This window comes from Homo sapiens, chromosome 1 (assembly GCF_000001405.40).
Source record: "Homo sapiens chromosome 1, GRCh38.p14 Primary Assembly".
NCBI lineage: Eukaryota > Metazoa > Chordata > Mammalia > Primates > Hominidae > Homo > Homo sapiens.
The window spans coordinates 240,310,147-240,335,531 of record NC_000001.11 but is presented as its reverse complement, the minus strand read 5'-3'; the positions used below and the strand labels follow the sequence as shown (position 1 = coordinate 240,335,531).

The 25,385-nt window shown below is 36.9% G+C and overlaps 1 protein-coding gene across 6 annotated transcripts in view; it reads right to left on the bottom strand.

Moving 5' to 3' along the window:
• Positions 1-25,385, bottom strand: part of FMN2 (formin 2) — a 383,305-nt gene that overhangs the window by 139,656 nt on the left and 218,264 nt on the right. For 5 of the 6 annotated variants that reach the window (NM_001305424.2, NM_020066.5, NM_001348094.2 and 2 more), the window contains 5 exons: positions 6,365-6,456; positions 6,064-6,193; positions 4,783-4,929; positions 1,586-1,645; positions 1,303-1,423 (listed from right to left, as the gene is read on the bottom strand). In NM_001305424.2, coding sequence (NP_001292353.1) covers positions 1,303-1,423; positions 1,586-1,645; positions 4,783-4,929; positions 6,064-6,193; positions 6,365-6,456 — 550 coding nt within the window. Of the gene's footprint in view, positions 1-1,302; positions 1,424-1,585; positions 1,646-4,782; positions 4,930-6,063; positions 6,194-6,364; positions 6,457-25,385 lie in introns of those variants that run through there. The other variant, XM_017001837.2, reaches the window with a different exon arrangement.

Here is a 25,385-nt window from a genome sequence, read left to right as displayed (position 1 = left end):
TTACACATCATAGTGTGTGTAAATTTCATAAGCAAACCAAGATGCCTGTCATCAGGTTGAAGTATAATACTATAGCATGAGTGGGTTTTTTTGTTGCTTTAAGAATTCATTCTTAGCTTAAAATACACAGTACCACAATATTATACAAATGTAACATAGTTTTATTTATTATTATTGTATGAAAAACAGAGCAAGTCAAGGCAGTCTTTCTTGGCCTCAGTCAATGAGCACCAACTTGTAAGGCTCCAACAGGGTACATGTAATGACAGAATTTCAGCCCTCTTCAACAGCGGTTACTGTAACCTTTGTGGATCCACAGCACCTAGCAACTGTCTGCCATGAACCAGGTCCGTAATAAATGTTGTTGAATACATAAGAACTATAACCACACTACATAATGTCCCTATGCTCACTGAAATCCATTTTAAAACACCTGTAACTAGAATATAACAACTCTATGAATTTGATTACAGATCAGTATCTTTGGATAAACACATCTCAAAATTGGGAGTCTCTTAAAAAGTTCTATCTTTTTGGTTTCTGGACAGGGGTAACCAGGCCTTTTCTTCTCATATAGTAACACAATATCAAATCAAAAGCTCGGGTAAATGTATTTACTTCTCATCTGTATGTAATACAGCAAGAAAGAAGCTGAAATAGACAGCTGAGGTGTTCGCAACTCAATAAGAATATCAAGAAAAGGGGATAGCAGGAATTTTACTTACAAAATAAAAAAATCTGCAAACTATTTGCTTTTTTGTAAATGCTACTTTTAATTTAGAAATTTGAAAAATTTCGGCCTATTATTCTTCAAAATAATTTTATGTAAAGCTTGACTGGTAATAAAACAATATACATGTATGTGGTTTTTAAGTAGAAGATATTTTGTTCCCAGGAAAGTTCATAAGCCAGAAAATCCTGGGCAAGTACACCAAGGGAAAATGGGGAAGGACTATTTATCTTCTATTACAACAATGACATAATTTGTATCCAACCATGACATGACCAATACCAAAATGTTCTTGGTTATAAAATGAAAACAAAATGTAAACTTATTCCTGACAAGACAGATTGTTAATTGAAATAACCAAGATATTACTTAATAACCAAATTTTTGATACACATAACTTTTTAAACAACCAAAGAATAAGAATATAGGCAAAATTGTTCTTTCGCCACACACACACAAATTTAGTTCTATAAAGATAAAAAAGATTACTTTTCTCTAAAAACATTGAAAAGTCTGCCTTCTCTCATTAAAAAAGCATAAACAGAAAACATGAGTTCAGGATTTTAAGTTACCTTTCAAGTCTTTCTTCAGTTTTCTGAGATCTTTTTGAAAATCTTCAAACTTCATCTGTGAGGCCTGAAAAAGGTCCTGGGGTTCTGGCAGTGGAAAGAGGCACTGTTCTTTTCCAGCATCCTAATGAACAAAAAACCCCATCATATTTAAAGAAATTGGTTATCAATATAAAAAAGAATAATAGCAGGTATGTCCAAAACAAAAACAACAACAAAAAGTACTGCCAAATCATCCAACGAATAAAGAATAATGGAATATGACTATATGTAAAAATTGTCTTACCTCATCAAAATTTCGGAGATAATACGAAACAATATATGACAAAAGGCTTCTGCTATTGTCCTAGGCAGAAAGACCAAAGTCAGTGACAATATATTTTTTAACTAATTAAATATAAAGTGTTACCAAAAAAGATTCTAGTGAATTCATGTATATACATGAGAACATTTGGAATGAAATGTGAAATTTTACATTTTGGATTGTCTTGGCCATTGTGTCTAAGGAGTTTGGTGGCTTAAAAGATTTTTCTCCCCAGTGTTCCAATCTTAGCACAGCTATTTAGGGGCAAAGTCTGAACTGTAAATACTTTCCAACTGTTACCCCCCTCAATTAGAAATTTAGCTCATGTCTTGTATATTTTATTATTTTGTGTTTTTATTGTTTTTGTTTGATAATTTTTTATGTTTTAAAACTACTATATTAAAAGAAATAATTTAGCATTGATATATAGCTGGACTAACAGATACCACTCCAACAGTAAGTTTGATTGAGGCTCATTAGCATATAGATTAGGGAAATAAAAAAGCTAAGTATCATTTTAAGTAAAGCGGAGCTTTTAACCATTCCAATACTAAGTAAAGGGGAGCTTTTAACAATTCCAATATTATAATTTGTTATATCAGCAATTGAGATTTGAGGAGTTAACACTCATGTGGTTATAAATAAGACAATGTGGATATTTCTATTTAAAAAAAGGTAAAATTGTTTCATATCTAACACACTTCAAAAATACCTTTTCACCTCCTTTCTGGTTTATTTAGGCGCATTAATTTTTATTTTACTCTTTTTTTGTATTGTTCCAAAGTAGTAGTAGATAATCTGAATTTGAGAGCTCAAGTATATATTTTACTTTAAAAACAAACCCTATGATACAAACTACATTCTCTGGAATGTTTAATATAACCACGATTTTTTCTATATTTGTAAAAAGAGCAAAACCTCTTTATAATCAAGTTTGACATGAGTCAGTAATGTAGCTATTAGAGATATCCCTCATTAGACAGGATTTGCTTGTAAAATGATTTAAGCAACTTGACTTCCTTTCTCTCTCCCAACTTGTAATTCAATGAAACGGTTGGCAGCACCTGAATCAATTAACAAAACTAGGCATGCTGAGAGAAAATTCTAAGTGATCAAAGTAACAGCTCTGTCCATGGAGGTCTATAAATAGTACTAAGGAATAAATATAGTTACATTTGTTTTACAGAGAAAGAACCAATTCAGGAAGACTTTGTATAGCTCTTCTGAGTACAAGTGAAACTATTTTAAAAACGTATTTCTTGATTACATATTTAAATTTTTATTTTAGATTACCTCTTGATTATTTAAATTAATGAAATTTAACCTAACAGAGGATTGAATAAGATATATAAACTGATACCAAAAAAGTCCCACAAATAATCTCTTATTTATATATGATCACTAGAATCTATTTCCAGTTCATTTCTATAATTTAAATATGATATTGATGCTATAGATTTCAATGTTATTTGCAAAAGTTGTTTCACTCCAACAAGCAGTTGCTGAGTATTGAAGAATTACCATAGGTTAAGAAAAGGGCTTTTCTTTCTTTTTTTTTTTGAGAAGGGCTCTCACTGTATTGCCCAGGTTGGCCTTGAAAAGTCCTCCCAAGTAGCTGGGATTACGGGCTCATGCTATTGCACTCGGCTTCAGCATTTTTTTTTTAACAAATGTAATTTATCAGCTCTCTATAGTAGATACTTCTATGAAAATGTGTATCATACACATGAGCATTTGAACAATTATAAAAATAAAAAAATCATATGCTGCTGGTGTACCAAGGAAGGACTATGAATTATTCGATTTTGGAAGAGCAGTGTCCACATTCCATAGATGCTCAATGAAAGAATATTGCATGAATATCTGTATTAATTTGACAACACACACACACGTACACAGAGACACAGTCTCCGACTCCCGATGCTTCATCTTACAATTTTTTGACTTTACAATGGTACAAAAGTGATACGCATTCAGTAGAAACTGTACTGCGAGTACCCATACAACCATTCTGTTTTTCACTTGCAGCACAGTATTCAATAAATTACATGAGATATTCAGCACTTTATTATAAAATAGGCTTTGTGTTAGATGATTTGCCCAACTGTAGGCTGAGGTAAGTGTTCTGAGCATGTTTGAGGCAGGCTAGGCTAAGCTTTGATGTTTACTAGGTTAGATGTATTGAATGACTTTTCACTTATGGTATTTTCAACTTAGGATGGGTTTATCAGGCCATAACTCCATTTTATGTTGAGAAGCATCTGTATATAAAACAATAAACAAATTGTTGGCTGGCAGAAAAGATTTTTAAAAGTCTCTCTCTCCCCCATGAAGGAAATTATTTCATTATCTAGGAAGGACAGTCCTACATATTTTTATTTCTACAAGCCAATTATTAAACTTAATATTTCAAAAACATGTCCAGAATTTCCTTTATCCTACTTTTTTGTGTGATGATTTTTTTATCAGAGAAATGTAACTCTTTTATTTTTTAAGTTTACCGTCTCAGACTTGAGTCTGTGACTCTAACCATCATTCCTAACCTCATATTTCTACTGGCACTCTCACAATTGCTTAGACATTAATTTCAAACAAACACAACTGCAGAAGTAGTACCAAAAAATGATTAGGTCTGCAAGAGAGCTTAGACATCCCCCTACACACCAGTATCAAGGAGAAAATCATATGCAGCAGAGTAGAATCACCTTTTATATTTTGTTTACAAGCCATTTTACTCATCATTGTGTTATTTTCAAAATATGGACCTATTGGCCTTCATTGCTTAACATGACAAAGAAAAAAAGATATACTGTCTAATTCATAGAAAATAATTAGCCTTCAGATTCCAAAAGGATAAATATTAGCAGACATGGGAAAGATATGGTAAAAGAAATTATTGTTTTATATTAAAACAATATAAAAAGTTATTTTGTATTGTTTTTATATTAAAAAGTTGTAATTATACATTAGACATAAGAATGAAAATTATTCACTTTAGGAAACATTAATCACAAAATCACAAATATCTGATGGACATTACTTTTTTCTAGCTCAGAACATAAAGAAGCATTTGACCTAGGAACATAAATATTTTTTACAACTGCTTTACATTCAAACCCATTACTAAACAAAACCTTGACTCCTCAATGTGCTTACGTCCACTCATGCAAAATACTTACACTGCTCTTGACATCTTTCAGTTTTGGAAGAATGTCTAATCCAAAGCCATCTGCCTGTCCTCGAGTCTTATTTCCTCCATTCATGTAGTTGCCAAAGGCAAGAACCAAACCTAGAACCTGCATAACCCCTGGGCCATTTTTTAATGTCTGTAAAACAGAATAACAACAAAAAACAACTTTTATCTTATACCAGGTTTTGTTTGAATCATCGAGTTGATGCCAGCTATTTATATTATATTAGGAGTTTTGGGTCACAACCGAACTTTATCATTCCTAATTATTAGGTATATTTTAAGAGCAGTATCCTGAAAGTTAGTAAAAGTTGCACCACCCACAAACATTCAGGTATGCCTTTGTAAGCTGGGGGATGCTATGTTAGGCCATTTCTGTGATGTAACTGCAAGGAAAACAAGCCTGTGTGAGAACTATTAAGGCTATATGGGAACAAAGGCTATATGATAACTATTAGATAAGGCCAAATGAGAACTATTACAAAATAACATCACTAATATCACTGCCATTGTCTTAATGGTGCCTACGTCTGGAACAATACCAATGTTTGGCATCAGCAGAGGAAACCAAAAAGCAGATTCAGAGATTAATTTCTAAATTTAGGTTTACCCCCAAAGAGCTCACACTCATTTCTTTCAAAACACTGTGTTTAACTTGACTTTGCATGTCACTTCTTCTGAAAATGTGAGCCTTTAAAAACATCTTTTCACTTTTCAAAATGATTTACCGCAACTAGAACAAATGGTATTACTGATATTTGACAAATTGTTTTAAATGTTAACATTGGTCGTTTCTGCCAAGCATTTATTTTTTGTTTTCGGAAGAATATTTGTCTTCTGTTGAGTCATATGGCTGTTCCTAAATTATTTGGCTGGAATAATTATTAACAGTTTGTGGAGAGGTCCTTCCAGATAACGAAAGAAAGTAAAAAAAAAAGCCTTCAAATTACATTCCTTTGGAAGTCTGATGTCTGAGAGGACCGTGAAAACTGAAGATTTTGTTTTGGCAAAAGGAGAGGGCAGAGAAATCTCTGGAGGCCAACATGTATTGGCCACATTCTAGCAATGTGGTCCTGTAGCCCTGGGCGCCCGCCGGAACATTTACTTTGATCTTGAAGGTCAATCATAAAATGTTCCCTTCTGTGGGACTGCGATCCTTCAAATTTGGTGAGTACTTAGAGTAAATAAAAGAATGCTTTTCTGAAATAAGAACATGGCTGAGCACAATTAAATGAGACTCAAGTTCAGCTCTCTTTGGACCAGAACTCACCTCACACAATTTCTGTAGTAATTCCAGTTTGCGACGAATTGAGCAAATGCTTTCTGAAAATGTGGACTGGAACAGGATGCAAAAGACTCGCTCTGAAAAGTTGGGGATTAGTGACAGTTCATAAAGGAACCTAAGGAAATAAAGCCAAGTTAAGAAGAAAAATATAATTCACATAAACAGATGTTTATCCTCATCTCATTCACAACAAGTATGCACTGAAGACACCGCATTTGCATTTTCCAAACAAAACGGGCCCACCCATAGCCTGGACGCCCTCTACGTGGTTATAAGACATGCTTACTGTTCAGGTTTGTCCAGAGACTTGGCATTTTCCTTGTCTTTGGAAGATCGGCCATGCTTTTCTATTTTTTCGAGTTCGTCTGACTGTGCTCTCTAGAAAAACAAAAACCAAATAGTTTTTCAAAGTCTGGCCAACTGAATCCCTTAGATAATAATCTAATTATCTTGATAAATTTGCTGATCTGAATACAGCGAAACGCTATATATTTTCATGTTTCTTAGCATCTGTATATAGTAAAGCTTGACTTAATTCATGAGGCATTTTAAAGTGTAAATATGGCCGGGTGTGGTGGCTCATGCCTGTAATCCCAGCACTTTGGGAGGCCAAGGCGGGCGGATCACCTGAGGTCAGGAGTTTGAGGACTGGCTTGGCCAACATGGTGAAACCCCATCTCTACTAAAAATACAAAAATTAGCGGGGCATGGTGGCAGGTGCCTGTAATCCCAGCTACTTGAGAGGCTGAGGCAGGAGAATCACCTGAACCTGGGAGGAGGAGGTTGCAGTGAGCCTAGATTGCACCACTGAACTCCAGCCTGGGTGACAGAGCAAGACTCTTGTCTCAAATAAATAAATAAATAAATAAATAAATAAATAAATAAATAAATAAAATAAAGTGTAAATATGTTTAATGCAAACCAGATTATCCCCAAATCTTCCAAATAATGTTATTGACCATTAGTGATCTGAGAAATGTTTATTCATTCAAGCATGCTTTAAAACAATAGTTTTCCTTTGTTATTTTGCCTGTCTATAATACTTTCTAGAACACAGGCATTTCATTTTATAAAGTAGTATTTCTTATTCAGAAGTCAAGTTGAATTTGGAAGTAATTTGATACTAAAGGTTTCATAACATTTTTAAAGAAAAAAAGTATTTATTTAACTATGGAAATCATTGTTTATTGATTTTTGTACTTGGGGGAAAATATAATTAAATGATTTAAGTCATGGAACAAAAATAAAAGGTTTTGATCCTTTTGCTGGATTTTCTTTTTCTTTTTTTTTTTTTTTTTTTTTTTTTGAGATGGGGTCTTGCTCCGTCACCCAGGTGGGAGTACAATGGCGCCACATCTGCTCACTACAACCTGCGCCTCCCGGGTTCAAGCCATTCTCCTGCCTCAGCCTCCTAAGTAGCTGGGATTACAGGCACCTGCCACCACGCCTGGCTCATTTTTTGTATTTTTAGTAGAGACAGGGTTTCACCATGTTGGCCAGGCTAATCTTGAACTCCTGACCTCAGGTGATCCACCCATCTCGGCCTCCCAAACTGCTGGGATTACAGGCATGAGCCACTGCGCCTGGCCTGGATTTTCTTTTTGATACAAAAATGACTCCATGCTTATTTTCTTCTTAAGTGTCTTCTGTTACCCTTTATAATCGCAAACTAAAAATTTGTCATTCTAAATGTGTTTCCTTATGAGAGAAGATCCTGTACATTTTAATATTAATATAGGGTAGGAGATTTTATAGACTTCAAGAAGCACAAATCTGTCTTTATTTTATAGAGTATTTGGATTATTTTTATTTGTAGTCCTGTCTTTATTATTTTACAACTCACAAAGGTGTATTAAAAGAGCCAAAATATCACATTTTCTTCATGCATTAAGAATAGACCACTATATTATGATTTCTGAGTCGTCTTCAGAAGTTAATATTCTTTCAATATTATTTTTGTTTAAATAGACGAGCAGCTCAGCCGAGAACTGCTATAGAAGCTACAGCCTGATAAATTTCAAGAGAATTGATAGATACTACCTAAACAAAGCTAGGTTCTGCTTTGTATTTACTGATTGTTTTGAGATGCAGGTTTTCAGTTGATAGGATTAACTAACAAAGACGTGTCTCAAAAGAAGTTTCTTTTAACGAGAGAAGAATTGATGAGAGATCTGCCAGAGAAGCTGATCCTCTGACAGTTTCATAAATTTTGCATTTGGAATGTGATGCGTCAAAAGAATACAAAGAAGTAACGGAGGTACATTTCACTGCAAATATCCCAAGCTACTCAAAAAATTAAAACTCTTCTTCTAGAATTTCAATTGCACAGTAATCTTACTTTTATCTCCAGTTAATTGTGGCTTTGCTCAAGAATTTTACTACTTGAGCAAATACTACTTCATTCGTCAGTTACCTATGAGAGTCAGCCTCATAAATAATATCATAAGACCATGTAAAGCCATATTACAAGACAGACTTTTAAAAATGACAATACCCATCTTTCTGGCAAATGAGAGACTCAGGTAATATTCTAAAAGAACATTAAAGCTAAGAATACAGACAAGGCAAGGGTTGTTTTAAGACACACAAGTCCCCACCAAAGTATAACACATAAAGGTCTCCAATCCCTATAACCTCTTTATTGTCTTAAAGGAAAGAGTTTCTACCAGAGCAGTTGGTTAGTCAACTATCTCCGAGCCTAACCCCTTTCTATACCCAAAACCTCATATAAAAAAAAAAAATCCAGCTTGCTACAGTTTGGTGACATAATTAGGTTTCTTAGTTTGATTTTGTTTAGACACCTTAATATACACTCAATCTAGCTGTTGAATAGACTCAACGTGGGGTTGAATGACCAGAATCCTACTCCATGGACACAGTAAATTTCCCTGGGTCTTAAACAACACAAAAACAAATCAAAAGGCAGCTGTAAGCGCAAAAAGATGGCTAAAGTAAATCAGAGTAATAATTAAAGATACAAGAGAAGGATGAAATTCATCAATGTCTTCAGAACAAAGTGACTTTCTACTAGTACTCTAGAGGCACTCCCCAAACTATTCAGCACATATGAATTACTAATTGCACAGTCCTTTATACCTTGTACTCTATTAGACCATTTCTGCTCACTTCAGAAAGAAATAAAGCTGCCCTGGGCTGACAGTAAACTTTTTGGCAAGTCAAGGGAACTGTCACTTTATCTATGCCCCATAAACTCCTTTCTTGTTATCCACAACTATGGGTACATAGTTTCTCTTTTTCTCTCTGGGGCTTAGTTAACTCCACCTCAGGTAATCTCTGGCCCTCTCACTCTCATATACACATGTGCACAAATATATACATACATGTGTACACACACACGGTCAATTCTTGCTATTTATGGACTGGGCACTGAATCAGCATATACTGAACTATTACTTCTAGAAAAAATATAGGGCTCCTGTGAGCCTCTGGGGTCACAACATTTTCATTGACTCACCAATATGTAACATTGTTTGATGTTTAAAGACATTTAATATATTCTGTTGATTCATTAATACTCAAGGCCAGCAGCACCATAGCTCACGCCTCAACAAAGCTTGTCCAGCACACAGATTTTTCCCCATCAGGTACATCACAGCCGTCTTGTGCTCAGAAACACTAGCCAGCACTTTAACACTGTGCTTGGGGCCCTCTTAGACTCCAAAATCACTAACAAAAGCACAACAGTGCAAAAAACATGGTACTAAATGGACTGCAAAAGGGATGCCTTACTGCACGAGAGCTGAAACAAAAAGGCAGAACATTGCCTTGTTCGATTTCAGTAAGAACATGTATGTGTGTTGGGAGACTCAAATTTTTCACCACTCAGTACATGTCTGCAAATAACTATAAAAGCCCCATGTGTGTCAGTTTTGGAGTTAACTGACACTAGGCAAGTTAGCAAATATAGAATCTGCAAATAATGAAGATCAAATCTGTATGTGTGTGTTTGTATGCATATATACACATGTGCATTTATATGAGAAAGTATACACTCTAATAAGTATACACTCTTTTTTTAACCTATGTTACTTTTGGAGGAATATGGCCAAATGAAGCCTTCCTTATCCTTCTCTTTTTTTTTTTTTTTTTGGAGACAGGGTCTCACCGTGTCACCCAGGCTGAAGTGCAGTGGCGCGATCTCAGCTTACTGCAGCCTTGACCTCTTGGGCTCAATAGGTCCTCCCACCTCAGCCTCTCAAGAAGTTGGGACTACCCTCCAGCTAAGTTTTGTTTTTTTTGTAGAGACGGGGTTTTGCCATGTTGCCCAGGCTGGTCTCAAACTCCTGGGCTCAAGCTGTTTGCCTGCCTCAGCCTAGATATACAGTATGAATCCCCTTCATTTTCCCCCTTCAACCGATTACTTCAAAAACATATCCCTTTTCATTCTACAACCACAGCGATGATTGACATGCACAAAGATGGTAGTGGTACACCTGAATCCATGCATTTTGAAACATTAATCATCTTAAAGAAACACATAAGCCAATCCCTAAAGCTTTTGACGCATCTTAGAATTCCCCTCATAGTTTGTAAACACCCCAACAAATTACAGACATGCAGTGAATATTCATTATTTAAGTAAATACCCCCACAACTATAACGTAGTACAGCTACAGTTTTGTTTTCAATTTTTTTTTTTGATGCAAGGTTTAAAATAGTCATTTGTGGACTAGTCCAAGAGCTAAACCTGTTTTTGTTTTCTTTTTCTCTTTCTTTCTTCCCTCCCTCCCTCCCTCCCTCTCTCTCTCTCTCTCTTTCCTTCTTTCGACAGGGTCTCACTCTGTCACTCTGTTGCCCGGGCTGTAGTGCAGTGATATGATCTCGGCTCACTACAACCTCTGCCTCCCAGGTTTAAGCAATTCTCATGCCTCAGCCACTTAGGTAGCTGGGATTACAGGTGTGTGCCAGCCACCATGCATGCCCAGGTAATTTTTGTAGTTTTAGTAGAGACAGGGCTTCGCCATGTTAGCCAGGCTGGTCTCGATAGCCTCAAGTGATCCGCCTTCCTGGAGCTCCCGAAGTGCTGGGATTACAGGCATGAGCCTCTGCGCCTGGCCTTAAACCATTTCTTGTAGCACAGTTTGTATTTTTTAAAAATCGTTTTCATCAAGTGCCAATTTTCAAATAATGCCCTCTCCTATTCAATCCGACAGTGCTCTGGAAAAGGTAACTTCACCAGAATAGTGTATAAATCAATAGCAAATGAAAAATTACCCAGTTGGAATGTCCAGATGGGGAGATCTCTAAAGTGTTAGGAATGTAAAGCAGGCTTGAAATTGGTGCTTTCAATTCATCAAATAAGTATCACTCGCGGACCACAACTCACTATTATGGTAAGGGGGAAAACAAGGGCTAGCAAATCCCAACTCTTGCCTTCAGGCAGCCCAAACAGGAGGCAGACAAAAGAATAAACTGCCATGAAACAGTGTGACAGGTGTTCCTTTTGTGGTACTAAGTAATGGTAGCATGACAGTGAGGCTTGAGAGAACTTGGAACATTCGGAGAGCTGCGAGGGCAAAAGATACCATTGGGAATCAGCTGTCCTTAAGTCAGACATGAAGAGAACCCTGAGGAGGAAGCTTCAGAGGAAAGACAGAAGTCAGCCAAGGACAGATCCTGGGGGAGGCTCACCTATCAAGAAACAGGCAAGAGGAGGAAGAACAGGAAGGAGGATGAGGAGAAGCCAGCAGAGATGTGAGAGAAGAGGTCAGAGACAGAAAATGTAGGAAAGTAGACATTTTTATCCTCACAAATGGGAACAACAACGGAAGGGAAGAACAAGGACACAGAGGATTTTGATACAGAAAAGAATATTAGAAAGATCTTTCACGTGGATGATCTCAACTTTGTTACTAAATTTGGAAGTGAGGTTACTGCCCATAAATAAGGAAGGTCAGGTTGAAGAGGATGACACAGAGTGAAAAAGGTCAAAGGTCTGGGCCAGGGGCATGGCTCACGCCTGTAATCTCAGCACTTTGGGAGCCCGAGGTGAGCAGATTGCCTGAGTTCTGGAGTTCGATATCAGCCTGGCCAACATGGCGAAACCCTGTCTCTACTAAAAATACAAAAAATTAGCCGGGCGTGGTGGCAGATGCCTGTATTCCCAGCTACTCGGGAGTCTGAGGCACAAGAAATGCTTGGACCTGGGAGGTGCAGGTTGCAGTGAGCCGAGATTGGGCCACTGCACTCCAGCCTGGGTGAGAGAGTGAGAGAGAGTGAGAGTGTGAGAGAGAGAGAGAAAGAAAGAAAAGAAAAGAGAGAGAAAGAGAGAAAGAGAAAGAGAAAGGAAAGGAAAAGGAAGGAAGGAAAGAAAAAGAAAAAAGAAAAGAAAAAGGTCTGAAGAGTCAATGTGTGAGGAATGCAAACAAGGGGAGAGAAGAAAAGGAACTAAAATTCAACAATGATGAACCAGCCACGGAAAATAAAGAGGAGGGGGGTTCTTGGGGATGGCGGAAGATCAGGAAGGGAAATCAAGTTATTATGAAATGAACTTGAGGAACAATGAAGATAAAGAACAGGTTTAGAGAAGTTATGACATAGACAAAAAAATTAACCTCCTAAATATCTTGCAAAGGATAAATGGCAACATGCTTGCCATGGAACACCAAGGGGACCACAGTTCAGCTTCACTCTTTTCCAGGAACGTGTGTGCCAGCCACAAGCCCTCTCTCATGGTGACACGGAACAACAGTGCTTTCCATCCCCCACAGTGCCCTTCCACGTGTGGATTCCTCGGTCTGAAAGGCTCATTACGTATACATGCTCAGTCACTTCATGGGGGAACTGTTTCTTGAGGAAAGACCCTCTTCCAACTACTTTTCCTCTCTAGCATACCGCCACTGTAATTTTATTTATTTTTGTGAATTTTGGGTTTATATCTTCCACACAGAGACTGGAAGTTCTGTGAGGACAGGGACAACACCTGTCTGTTTCTCGTCTCTAAATCCTCTCTCTGTCGTAGCAAAGCCTGAGTGTTGGCACGCCTGGCAAGGAAGAGAGAAATTCCTTTGCGTGGACACTTTCAGCAAGCACTGAATTAGTATAATATCATAGAATCATAAAAATCTCAGGGATGGAAAGAAGCACAGGCCATCAACTATAGCAATTCTCAAGCATTTTAGACCGAAGATTCTTTACTCTCCTAAAAATTATAGAAGATGCCAAGGAGCTTTAGTTTTTGAGGATTACAGAGGGTCCTCAACTTACTATGGTTTGATTTATGATTTTTTTTTAAACCATAGTAAGTTGGGGTGGGAAAAGCAATAGACTTTCAGTAAAAATCATATTTTGAATTTTGACTCAAAATTTTTATATTAGCTTTATATAAAATCGGCTTTTTGTGACATGATTTTGTCCAACTGTAGGCTAAGGGTGGCTAGGGAAAGCTGTGATATTTGATAGATAAGCTAGGTGTATTAAATGCACTGTTTATTAAAGATATTTTCAACTTATAATGGGTTTACTGGGACATAACCCCATCATAAGTTGAGGAGTATCTGTATAGCTACTGATATTTACCATATTAGGTATTAAACCAAGAAGTGTTTCAAATATGTATTCATTCAATCAAAATTATCATAAAAGTCCATTAATGTAAAAATAATTTGATTTTTTTCTTTAAATTAGAGGAGTCGCAATGTTTAACATTTTTGAAGTTCTGTTTATTGTCTGGCTTATAGCTGGAATCTGTATCTGCTTTTGCATTCAATCTAATGTGATTTGCTGCTTTGGATGAAGTATAGGAAAAGAATCTAGCTTCATACAGATAGGTAGTTGGGAAAGTGAGGAATATTTTAATAGCTTTTTCAGATAAGTGTAGATAATCTTTAGTACTACACCAAGTTAGTGAAAACCATATCAATTTACTTTTTGTACTATGTTACATAAAAATTTATTTTCTATCTTGCAATGAGAATGGTCATTTAAAAATTATTGATTCACTGATTTACACAGAGCTCCCAGATTCTGGGATATGTCATTTTGGATTACTAAAAATAAAGTCAATTCTTTAAAAATACCATCTGTAATCCTATCAGAAAAAAGTATTTAAGTATAGGTGAAACTTTCAAGCTTATGCTGGTGGATAAAAGACTTCCAACATTCTAATTTTTGCTTTAGAGCTTAGACTTTATCCTTGGTAACAAATACTCTGAGTGGTTTTCCTTGACGTAACTGGCTTACTTTGTTCAAGAAAATGTCTAGCAAATATCAAGGTATGAATAACCACGGTTTGCAGTCTGGTTTTCAGGTAGAAATGGTGTTCAATGAAAAAAAAAAAACAAGTTCAATTCACAATTTAAATAATCACACAAGTATTTTTCATCAAAATAACGACATACTTTGCCATGCAGTAGACTTTATGTTTACTTCCCACCTCATCACACAGAAGATTCAGACACATATTAAATAGCTGAGTTTTAATAGAATAGATCATTTTTATTGCTCTATCAAAGGAAATGACTTTTTCCCCCTGTGAGAGCATAGTGGTGAAGAATTACAGCAACAACTTAGTTTGGTGTCACTGCCTTGGTTCTTGCTGAGGCACCAGCGTTTTTACCTACCGCTGCTTTTGCTTAATCAGCACAGCTGTTTACACAAGGAGGCAAATACCATCTTAGCGGTATCAGGAAAATAGTTTTGACCTTGCAGATCCCCTCAAAAAGAATGGCAGGAATCCCTGGGCATCCACGGAGCAGACACTGAGAACTAATGTTCGGTAAAACCTTCCTATCTAGCTGATCATTAAATTCTCAACCACCCACCCCCATACTTAAGCACTTTGAGTGACAAAATTCACTGTCGTCCTAAATTGGTCATCACATCTTTAAAGAACAGTGTTCAGAAACACCAAAACTATGGGCTTCTTTATACTAAACAAAACATTTCCTCTACTTTTAGCTATCGGTCCCAGGTCCACTCTCTAGGGTCATTTCAAAATCTCTTTCAGATATGTGAGGAAGCTACAATTTTCCTCATTTGTCTTCTGTGCTAAGTACCTGGTTCTTTGCCATTTACATGGAACAAACACGAGCCATTGTTGAAACAGGCTCATTCTTCCTTATGGCCAAATACATGAGCAAAGTGGCTACACACTTACACATTAATTAATCACATAAAAGAATTTCCAGGTTCCAAACTTTCAACTAACAAACCTTCCCTCTCCCCCAGTCTTTTTCACTTCCATTAGGGAAAGTCCCTTCCAAGATGACATCGTTTCAGTCTACAAGTACTGTCTTTTTGCTCCTTCCTTTCACCCCTTCCCAATCTCACCCTGATCATTTGCAGATCTGTAGCAGAATATTCCTTTCTCAAGATTTACTGTGTTTGCCTATAAATGAAACACACCCCAGTTGCTGCTAACCTGGATGCTTTCACCAGTCACCACCAGCCAGCGCAGATTCAGATTCCTAGATGTCATCGCAGATTTCACCAAATACTTCAACCTCCACCACCCTAGACTCATATACCTTCTGCAACCGAATTGTACTATTTCAACTCCTGGGGAAAAAAATCATTAACGCTATAGGCAGGAAGATGTTTCATTTGCGGGGGAGGGGAAACAGGCGGCTATGATATTGAATTGATACCCATTTCTGCTGAGTTTATGAATGGTGCTAAGCAACTATTTCTCGAATGCTGAAATAGGCTCATTCTTCCTTATGGCCAAATACACGAACAAAGTGGCTCCACACTTATACATTAGTTAATCACATCAAAGAATTTCCAGGTTCTGAACATTCAACTAACAAACCTTCCCTCGCCCAGTCTTTTTCACTTCCATAAGGGAAAGTCCCTTCCAAGACGACATCGTTTCAGTCTACAAGAACTAACTCCCAGAGGACACTAACTTAAATCCCTGAGATGTCTTAGGAATTGTTGTATACCACATCTGTTGTGAAGACTCACGATGCTAAACACTCTTTGAAATTATGCTGTTGGAAATACTAGTTTTGTTTAAGAGCATTCCTTATACTTAATTTCTCACAAAACGTGTGCATTTGTGTGTGTCTAAGACAGACAGACAGAAAGATATCCCCCAAGGAACCAGTGTTCTAAGGGATATAATGTAGAAATATTGGGCTGGCCAAACTTCTACGAGTTCCTTTATTCATTTTCTCTCCAATTTCATAATGTAGCTAAATGCTAAGCCCTTTGCCTCTCTCCACAAACGCCATCACTCCTGATACTTTTATGTTGACTAGGCAACCTTACATCCTAATATTGCTCCCTTTGATTACATTACATCTTCTTCTTGTGAATCTCTTCCCTCCCTCTGCTGAACCCACTCCATCCCCACTGCCAGGTCTTCATCCACTATACCTCACCACACTATATAATAAATACATTTAGCTCTGGTTTCCCTTCTAAGCCTGTATTTTCATTCCACGTCCAGACAGACCATTACTTTCTCAACTTTTTCACCTGCATACTTCAGAAGCATCTTAGATGAAACATATTTCAAAATCAAGTCAGGTTTTCTTCCTCTAAATCTTCAGTGATCCTCATTCCAGTAAACTGGAAAACTCGTCACCCACCCAGAAAGCTGGGGGTTATCCTAAACATCTACTCATATTTCACTTCCACATCCAGTGAATCACTGAGTCTCAGATCCACCTCCACTGCCACCATCCTTGTCCAAACCGCCATCTCTCAACTCAACTATTCTAATATCCTGATTGGTCTCCCCTAAATCATCCCTGACTCTCTCTAACACATGTTCTATGAAGTACTTAATGTGATTGTTTTTAAAAGGTGCAAATCAGAGCATGTATATCCTATTCAAAACTTTTTACTGATTAACAATTATTTTTAGAATAATACCTGGACATAATGGTACAAACAAACATAGGGAAGCAATGAAGGGTGGAAAGAAGGCAGACTGGCCAACGACCTCACAGTATCATTAACAGCATGGTGATGAACTTCCTGAGTTTTCTATTTTCTTCCCATTTATCCCAGAGTGGGTGCTAAAGAAGCTTAGAACCTGGAACCACCAGCAGATACATGGAAAAAAAAAAGAAAAAGAAAAAGAAAAGCCAGTTTCCTTCCTCCAGACAAAGGACTAGGAAAAAAGTGGTCTGCCAGAGCAGAAAACCTTTCTCTTAATACCTGCCCTAGGCCAAACACCAAATGAAAAACTGTCCCATTGAGGTGTTAAGTGAAGAGCTGAACTGTCACTCCAGCGCTATGAAGTGGAGCAAGTGGGTATGAGGCAGTGCTACTTAATACAAGGCCTACTCCAACTTCCCATCAACCTGGTATCTGGGGGCCCAGTGGGCAGCCAAACTTCCACCCAGCAGCAACAAGGAAGAAAGAGGTGATCTGAGGTGGCGCAAATGAGCAACTCAATCTAACTAGAAAGCGGGAAAAAGACATAAACAGACATATCGCCAGAGAGAATACATGGATGACAAGTTAGCACATGAAATGATGTTCAGCCTCATTGACCATTAAGGAAATGCAAATTAAAATCATGATGGACTATCACTACAAATCTATTGTAACAGCTAGAATAAAAATTAGTAACCATACCAGGGATGCAGCAAAATTGGACCTCTCATATATTGCTGCTGAGAATGGAAAATGGTACTACCATTCTGGAAAACAGTTTGTCAGTTTCTTAAAACGTAAATATACACAACTTGTAACACAACAATTGCAGTCCTGGGCATTTATCACACAAAAAAAGAAAACTTAAGTCGACATGCAAAAAATTATGTACATACATGTTCATAACAGTTTTGTGTGTAATACCCAAAAACTCAAAACACCCCAAATGCCTTTCAGTAGGTGAAAGATTAAACAAATGTTAGTATGTTCATACCATGAAATACTACTCAACAATAAAATGAAATGAACTACTGAGGCACTCAACACTTGAGTGGATCTCATGGAAATTATACTGAGTGGAAAAAAGCTAATCTTAAAAGGTTATATACCGTATGATTCCATTTATGTCACATTCTCAAAATGACAAAATTATAGCGATGGAAACAGATTATTAACTACCAGGGGTTAGGGATGGAGAAAGAGATGGTGTAATTACAAGGGGGTAGCACAAGGGATCTTTTGGGTCATGGTTTTGGGTGATGGAATCATTTTACATCTTTCTTTTCTTTTTCTTTTTAGATGGAGTCTCCCCAGGCTGGAGTGCAGTGGCATGATATCGGCTCACTGCAACCTCTGCCTCCTGGGTTCAAGCAATTCTCCTGCCTTAGCCTCCTGAGCAGCTAGGACTACAGGTGCGTGCCACCACACCAAGCTAATTTTTTACTTTTAGTAGAGACAGGGTTTCACCATGTTGGCCAGGATGGTCTCAATCTCTTGACCTTGTGATAGACCTCGTGATCAGCCCGCCTCAGCCTCCCAAAGTACTGGGATTACAGGCATGAGCCACCCACTCGTCCTGTTTTACATCTTGATTGTGCTGATAATTATAGGAATCAACATGTGACACGAGTGCATAGAACTGTACATGCATATGTGTGTACATGATGCCCACACCCAGTAGGAGTGCATGCAAAATTGGTGAAATCTAAAAAAGGTCCACGGATCATACCAATGTAATTTTCCAGGTTTTGATGTTATACTATAGTTTTATAAGATGCTATCATTGGGGAAAACTGGGTATATGGGACACAGTGTACTATTTTTACAAAGTCCTCTGAATCTATAATGAGTCTAAAATAAAAACTTGAAAGAAAAAAAACAAAATGAGCCATTGATCATCCGTTCTATTTTGTCCCCAAATCTGTTCATCATTTTGAACATCCAATCCCAGCTATGGTGATCCAAATACCCAAGAAAGAAGCCTGTGTATGGTCTCCTGTCTCCCACATCCTGTTACCAACATTTCCTGTTGAGTCTTCCCCTGAAAAACATCTTAGAAACAGACTTCTCCCTCTCACTCTCATTGCTACCCCACAGCAACCTGTCCACATCCATCCCTGCCAGTCTCAATCCCTGCCCCTCCTCTGACTCCCATTTCCCTAGGCACTACTTGTCAGCAACACAAAATTCCTCACCTAAAACACATTATAGATTTTTACATCCATGCCTTTGATCATACTGCTCCATCTGCTGGGTCTTTATCTCTTCTCTGCAGCATATTATTGACCAACATTTAAGAACAATCCCAGATACTGCCTCTCTATGAACATCCTTCTACCTCCCCGAAGATCAAGTCCTTGTTGCCTTTTCAGCAACTGCCCCACTCTTTCCAAAGAACTCTATCTAGCACTTAAGAACAATAGGTTTTAATTATTTGGTTTCATGTTTGTCATCCACATTACATCCAAAGCTCTTCAAAGAGGTGAATATAAGATTCATTTTTGTAATACCAACACCTAGAACAGTGCCTGGCACACAGTAGGTTCACTCTAAATATTTATTGGAGGGGAAAAAAGATCTCGTGGTTTGGTTCTCTCATTTTATTTGAGTATGTAAAAACCCTATATATATGTTATGCATGAAATGGCCTTTTGTGTGTTGGACTGGGGACTTCCCAGCACATTTAAGGGAAAATACTTTTGCATTATTAAAGGGCCACTTAAATACATTTTTACACATTCCACATTCAAGAGTTTATGGGTGGTCTATATACTACTTGTTGATCTCGTCTCATCTTGAAAACTAGCTTTTCAAGAGATCTACATTTTATGGTCCACTGACTCACACACTACAGCTCCACAGATCTTTCTTCTCCGGGTTACATTAAATAATTTTCATATTTTAAAATGCCAAGGACTGAGGAGAACTTTCAAAAGAATGATCAAATATACCATAGCAACCTAAAGTTGTATATCCAATGGCTGAACAGCTCCTCAGGGACCTGAAAGTCTTGAACACTTGTATGTTGGCAAATGTGAGAAAACAAGAAATTCAGAGCCAAATACTCATGTAATACCATCTGGAATCACTCAAGTTCCTAAATAAGTTCAGTGAAGAAAAACATGATAGGAGTTCTACATCCTTATTAAGAGAGTTGACTATTTATTCCTTTAATAAATTTATTGCCCAGTTAAATTTCAGTTGTTGCAATCATGGGAAGTAAGAAGGGAAGGTTGATGACCCTATCAAACATAATACATCAAAACCATCAAATGTTTTTACTGTTCATGCATAATTTTAAGTTAGGATCCAGCTTTAGTCATAACCAAGGTTTTTAGCAGGCATGAGAACAATTATGTTTGCTACCATTCAAAAACCTCTACCTTATATGACCACACAGGCCAAACCTGAAAGTCTTATATATAAACTACAATATGCTTAGTCTTAAGTCCATTCCTGTAACATCAGCAGAATAAAGGAATTTGAAGACAGCCTAGTGAACATTTATGGCATCAGGTTGGCAAAATTTACTGGGGTTGCTAGCCAACTGCACCATTTCCCTAATGCTTGCCTGCCATCAAGGAAAATTACTGGAAAATGTTTACTCTATGTGTGTCAGAAGAAACTGTCCTCCCAGAAGAGCTGAATAGTTATTAAAGAGTGAATGCGCAGGAAACACTTTTGTATTCCACTAAGCTAAAAGGCTTGTTAATGTTCTCAAAGAGACAAACGAGGCAGATCACAGAAGAACAGAATTTATGTAAAAACAATGGCTGGTAGAGGCAGACAGGGAACTTACAAACAATTCAACACCACACACAAGGATGTGCAATTCATGTTCTCCTGAGCAAAGACCTCCTGAGAAACCAAAAAAAGTCATAATAAAAGGAGAAGCAAACAAGGGTTTCCATTATCAAACAGGTTTACATTTAGAACTGAAAACATGAGGAAAAATAGCGGCAAGGATCAAAGCTAGGATGAAACGAACATGAAAGTATTCCAAAATTTTTACATTTATTAAGGATTTATTCTCCAGCTATTTTTATAAAGAACTTGAGGAGGACAACAATAACAGTGATCCTTTTGCTTCTCCTCTTTCCTCTCTCTTTTTAAAAAGTAGAAATTTGGACTATTTTTTCATTTCAGGTCAGTACATATTGAAGACAGGCCTGTGATTTAAAATAGGTCAGTAGTTGAACCTAGCATTTCTGAGGGAAATGTGAATCTGGCATAGACGTAATACAGCAACCCTCCCTTTCTCCCTTTCTCTCCTTTCAATTCAAGCAATATTTGCACTCCTTGCTACAGATGGATGCCATATTTCCCCTCCCAAAACACCACAGTCTTTATGATCTACTCCCCCTTTTTTAAGGTTGGTACTTAAAGTGCCTTATGATGTGTTTTCTGTTAAACTACTATTCATAGAATGCTAGCAGTGGAATTCTTATATGATAATTAAAATTGTATGCATATTGTAGCTCCCCAACAAAATTACTTTTTCCTTGCAGAGGACAGTAATAGATACCAGCATCTTCCTTAGTAGCTTTTTATGTACAAAAGCATAATTTGAAAAAAAATGTACACGTTAAATATTTTTCAGGATGTTAACATACACTATTTTTTTTCTGAGACAGAGTCTTGCTCTGTTGCCCAGGCTGAAGTGTGCAGTGGCTCAATCTTGGCTCACTGCAACCTCCACCTCTTGGGTTCAAGCAATTCTCCTGCCTCAGTCTCCTGAGTAGCTGGGACTACAGGCACACATCGCCACGCCCAGCTAATTTTTGTATTTGTATTTCTAGTAGAGACGGGGTTTCACCAGGTTGGCCAGGCTGGTTTCGAACTCCTGACCTCAAGTGATCCACCTGCCTCAGCCTCCCAAAGTGCTGGGATTACAGGTATGAGCCACCGTGCCCGGGCAGTATACACTATTTTATATACATTATTTTAATATTAATTAAATATCTTATATCATATTTTAAGGTACACAGAGCTGTCCAGGAATAAAACCATGCTGCAGTATCTAAGAAAAACTCTACTTCAAATTTACTGTTGACTATTTTGGAAAATCTCATTAATGGTGATAAAACCATTGTTAGATATTGTATTCAAGGTGATTATAAATACCTTAACAAATATGTACTTCCTTATATCTTCTGGTTCAATCACACATAAGCATTCACATACTTAAATACATCATATAATATTATACATTACTGCACTACTTTATATTAAGTGTCAGACATTAGGTGACTTAAGTTATGTATATAGATTTATTATCCATACATTTCTTTTCAGAATAGTGAAAAGGGCGTTATGCATATTTGTTAGAAAAAGGAAGCATCAGTGGTTCCCACTTGGATGGGAGAAAAAGGAAGCATCGGATGGGTAGAATGGAGAACTAATGGCCTGCTCTAACAACACCCATCCAGGACGACTCATCGTTTTGTAGACAGCTCACTTAGTAAAGACCTCCCAAAAGAAAGGGTAAGTGGTAACTGGTCATCTAAAAAGCAAATGTTGCAATAGGAAGTGACATAGCAAATTCCAAGGGATTAATTTCTGTATTGAGCCTTGTACTTCAGAACAAGATGCATGGGTGGGTAAGGAGAAGGAAAAGGTCAGGAACAGGAAGAAGTGCTGGGGAGTTCTAAAAATAATCTCTTAAGTCTTTTGCATTGACATATAAGGAAAACACTAATCTTGATGTGCAAATTGATAAGTGTGGAGGTAAAGTGTGTAGGGCAGCGATCTGATCAGTTCGAGAAGTGCATTTTCCTTGGGCTAACAGATTCTATAATACATTGTTACTCTGCTTTCTGTTACAATGACCAAGAAAGCAATAGTCTTTATTTCAAATGTAAAAGTAAACACTGATAATCAAATGTACTTTGTGGAACATCTGATCACAGAATTACTCTTTCTTCCAAGAAACAATGCCATCATTAAAATCATGATCAAAGCCCTGGTATTTTAAAAGAAATTCTATTTAAGAGAACTTGTCAAGGGTAGCGTTCTAACTGCCATAAACAATTATTTGCATTCATCTGGTAAATGTTTTTTGTAGTGCTTACTATGTGCCAAGGAGATACAATACTAAGGAAAAACAACAGAACTTTCATCAGATCAGAGAGAATGGGAGTAAAGAAAAGTGAATATGCGTACAATGTCTAGGTTTACAAGCATTCTAAAGACAAGGTGCATGTTGCTGTATGAGCCTGAAATGGAAGGATTTGATACAAAGAATTCCTAAGGAAGAAAAGAATGACAACTGAAGATTCAGGAGACTTTTACTAGAAGGAGATGGTAAGTGGAAATCTCCTGCCTGAAGGAACACCTTTTGTCAGTGCTGTTCTAGTGGTAGGATCTGCATGGTTTTGAGAAACTAAAAGGGGGTGGGTGGCTGGAGAGCAGAGGGCTACAAGATGGTAAAGTGGACGGACCATGCAAAACTAAAAACAAATGTGAAGGAGAAGTGCTCAGAGAACCTACCCGCCTACAAAAAGTAAATGGCCATAAATTCCACAATGTGAACATGAAACTGCTCTCTGCTCTACAATGTCAGCCTTTTGGATGTCAACTAATAAAAGAAAAATATCATATTAAAATAAGAGAAAGCCAGCATGGTGATGCATGCCTGTAGTTCCAGCTATTTGAGAGGGTGAGGCAAGAGGATCACTTGAGTTCAGCAGTTCAAGGCTGTAGTGAGCTATGATCACACCACTGCACTCCAGCCTGGCCAAGAGAGCGAGACCTTGTCTCTTAATAAAATAAAGTAAAATAACAGGAACGACATATAAGAACAATCCCGGATCATTTATTTCCACATATTTCCAATGCAGCTGTGTTAATCTTTTAATTTTCATTTTCCAGGAATTTATGCAATATAGTTGGTTTATCCAAAAGAAGCATAACTATCAAAAAATCAGTCAATAATTTTATGATGTGACAGGCAGTGTCACACCTTAGATTAACAAGAAAGAAATATAATTTCTGATTTTTTATTAAGTTTATAGAGTCAATCTGTAAGTGATTCAAGATCCAAAGCTTTTCTTTTTTTTTAATTCTGAAATTCACCTTAAGCACGTTTATGGTTGAAAATGAGCATACTTGCAGGGATTCCATGAACCAACTCAATAAAACAATGAAATTTGAGAGTATGGTTTTAAAACAGCTATGTGGGGAAAGTCAATACTCCTCTCATTTTTGTTTGAAGAAACTGATGATTAAATGTTGCTTAAAACATGAATCAATTAAATTCCTCTAGGAAGTTATGGGAACACAGAACAGTTAATCCAATTCATTTTCACTAATGTAATATGGTATACACTTTTGAGGATGCTGTATCATGTGGCATGCATGATACCCTTCTTCCAGATTCAAGTTTATGGTATGTCAACTACTACCCTAGTAATCTTTAAGCAAAGATTGCTAAAACTATAAAGTATGCCTGTGAAATCCAATCCTGAGAAGTGTAAATTTAGATCTCTAATTCTTTCTACTTTACCTGCTTTTTTTTCTTCCTTCTAATTGGATTAGAACTGTTTAATGACAAAGGGGGTGTTGAATTTTTTCCCTTCCTATCTTTTTTCATGTATTTTTCTTCAGTTGAACTGCTAATAGTATTCATGTCCAGGTTTTGGTCTGGTTGAATACTTAAGATTTTTTGTTTATTTGTTTCTTAAATATGAAAGAAAGAAAAAAATGATTTTCAGAAAAACACAATGCAACTGATAGTTATACATGAATATTTTAACAGACACATTTTTGAATTGAAGTTAGTCATTCAACACACTTAAAAAAATGAGTAATTTTCCTCATCTGCTCCCTCATTCCCCACACCACAGTCTACTGCTTCCTATCCACCTCACAAGCTCACTTTGCCATATAAGGAGTATATTTCAAGATTCAGAAGCAATAGATATAGTTAACCAACTGTAAATATTATATACTGCTTAGGAAAAGATCTTACTCTCTGAACTTAATGACAGTCAATAACCCTAAATAAACTGTAATGATTTTTGTTTTTAAAAACTCACTAGGTTGTACTGCATTTAGTAACTATGTGGTTTCTCTAGGTTTTAATTCCTCAGTAAACAGGAATTGAGTCCTCAGGATTGTGGTTTTTGAAATTAGGGTGTGTTTAGATTTGGAGGCTAACCAAGATTCATTCACATCTAGAAGAGAAAGCTCACTGCCAAACATATGCAATCAGGAGAGAAAAAAAGATTACATTCTAAATAAGGTTTGTATAACAAATACTTCCATCTGTTTCACAGAGATCAAATAGAATTACTTTAAAACAGACCAATGACATTTAAGCATCTGGCAAAAAGAAAGTGTGTTGTATTTATGGGAAAGGATTTAGGTTAGCGATATTTTTTTCTTCAAGGATAAGAAGTGGAATGCCAAATAAGATTATTACCCATATATTTAATTTAAAAATTGAGTTTAAATAT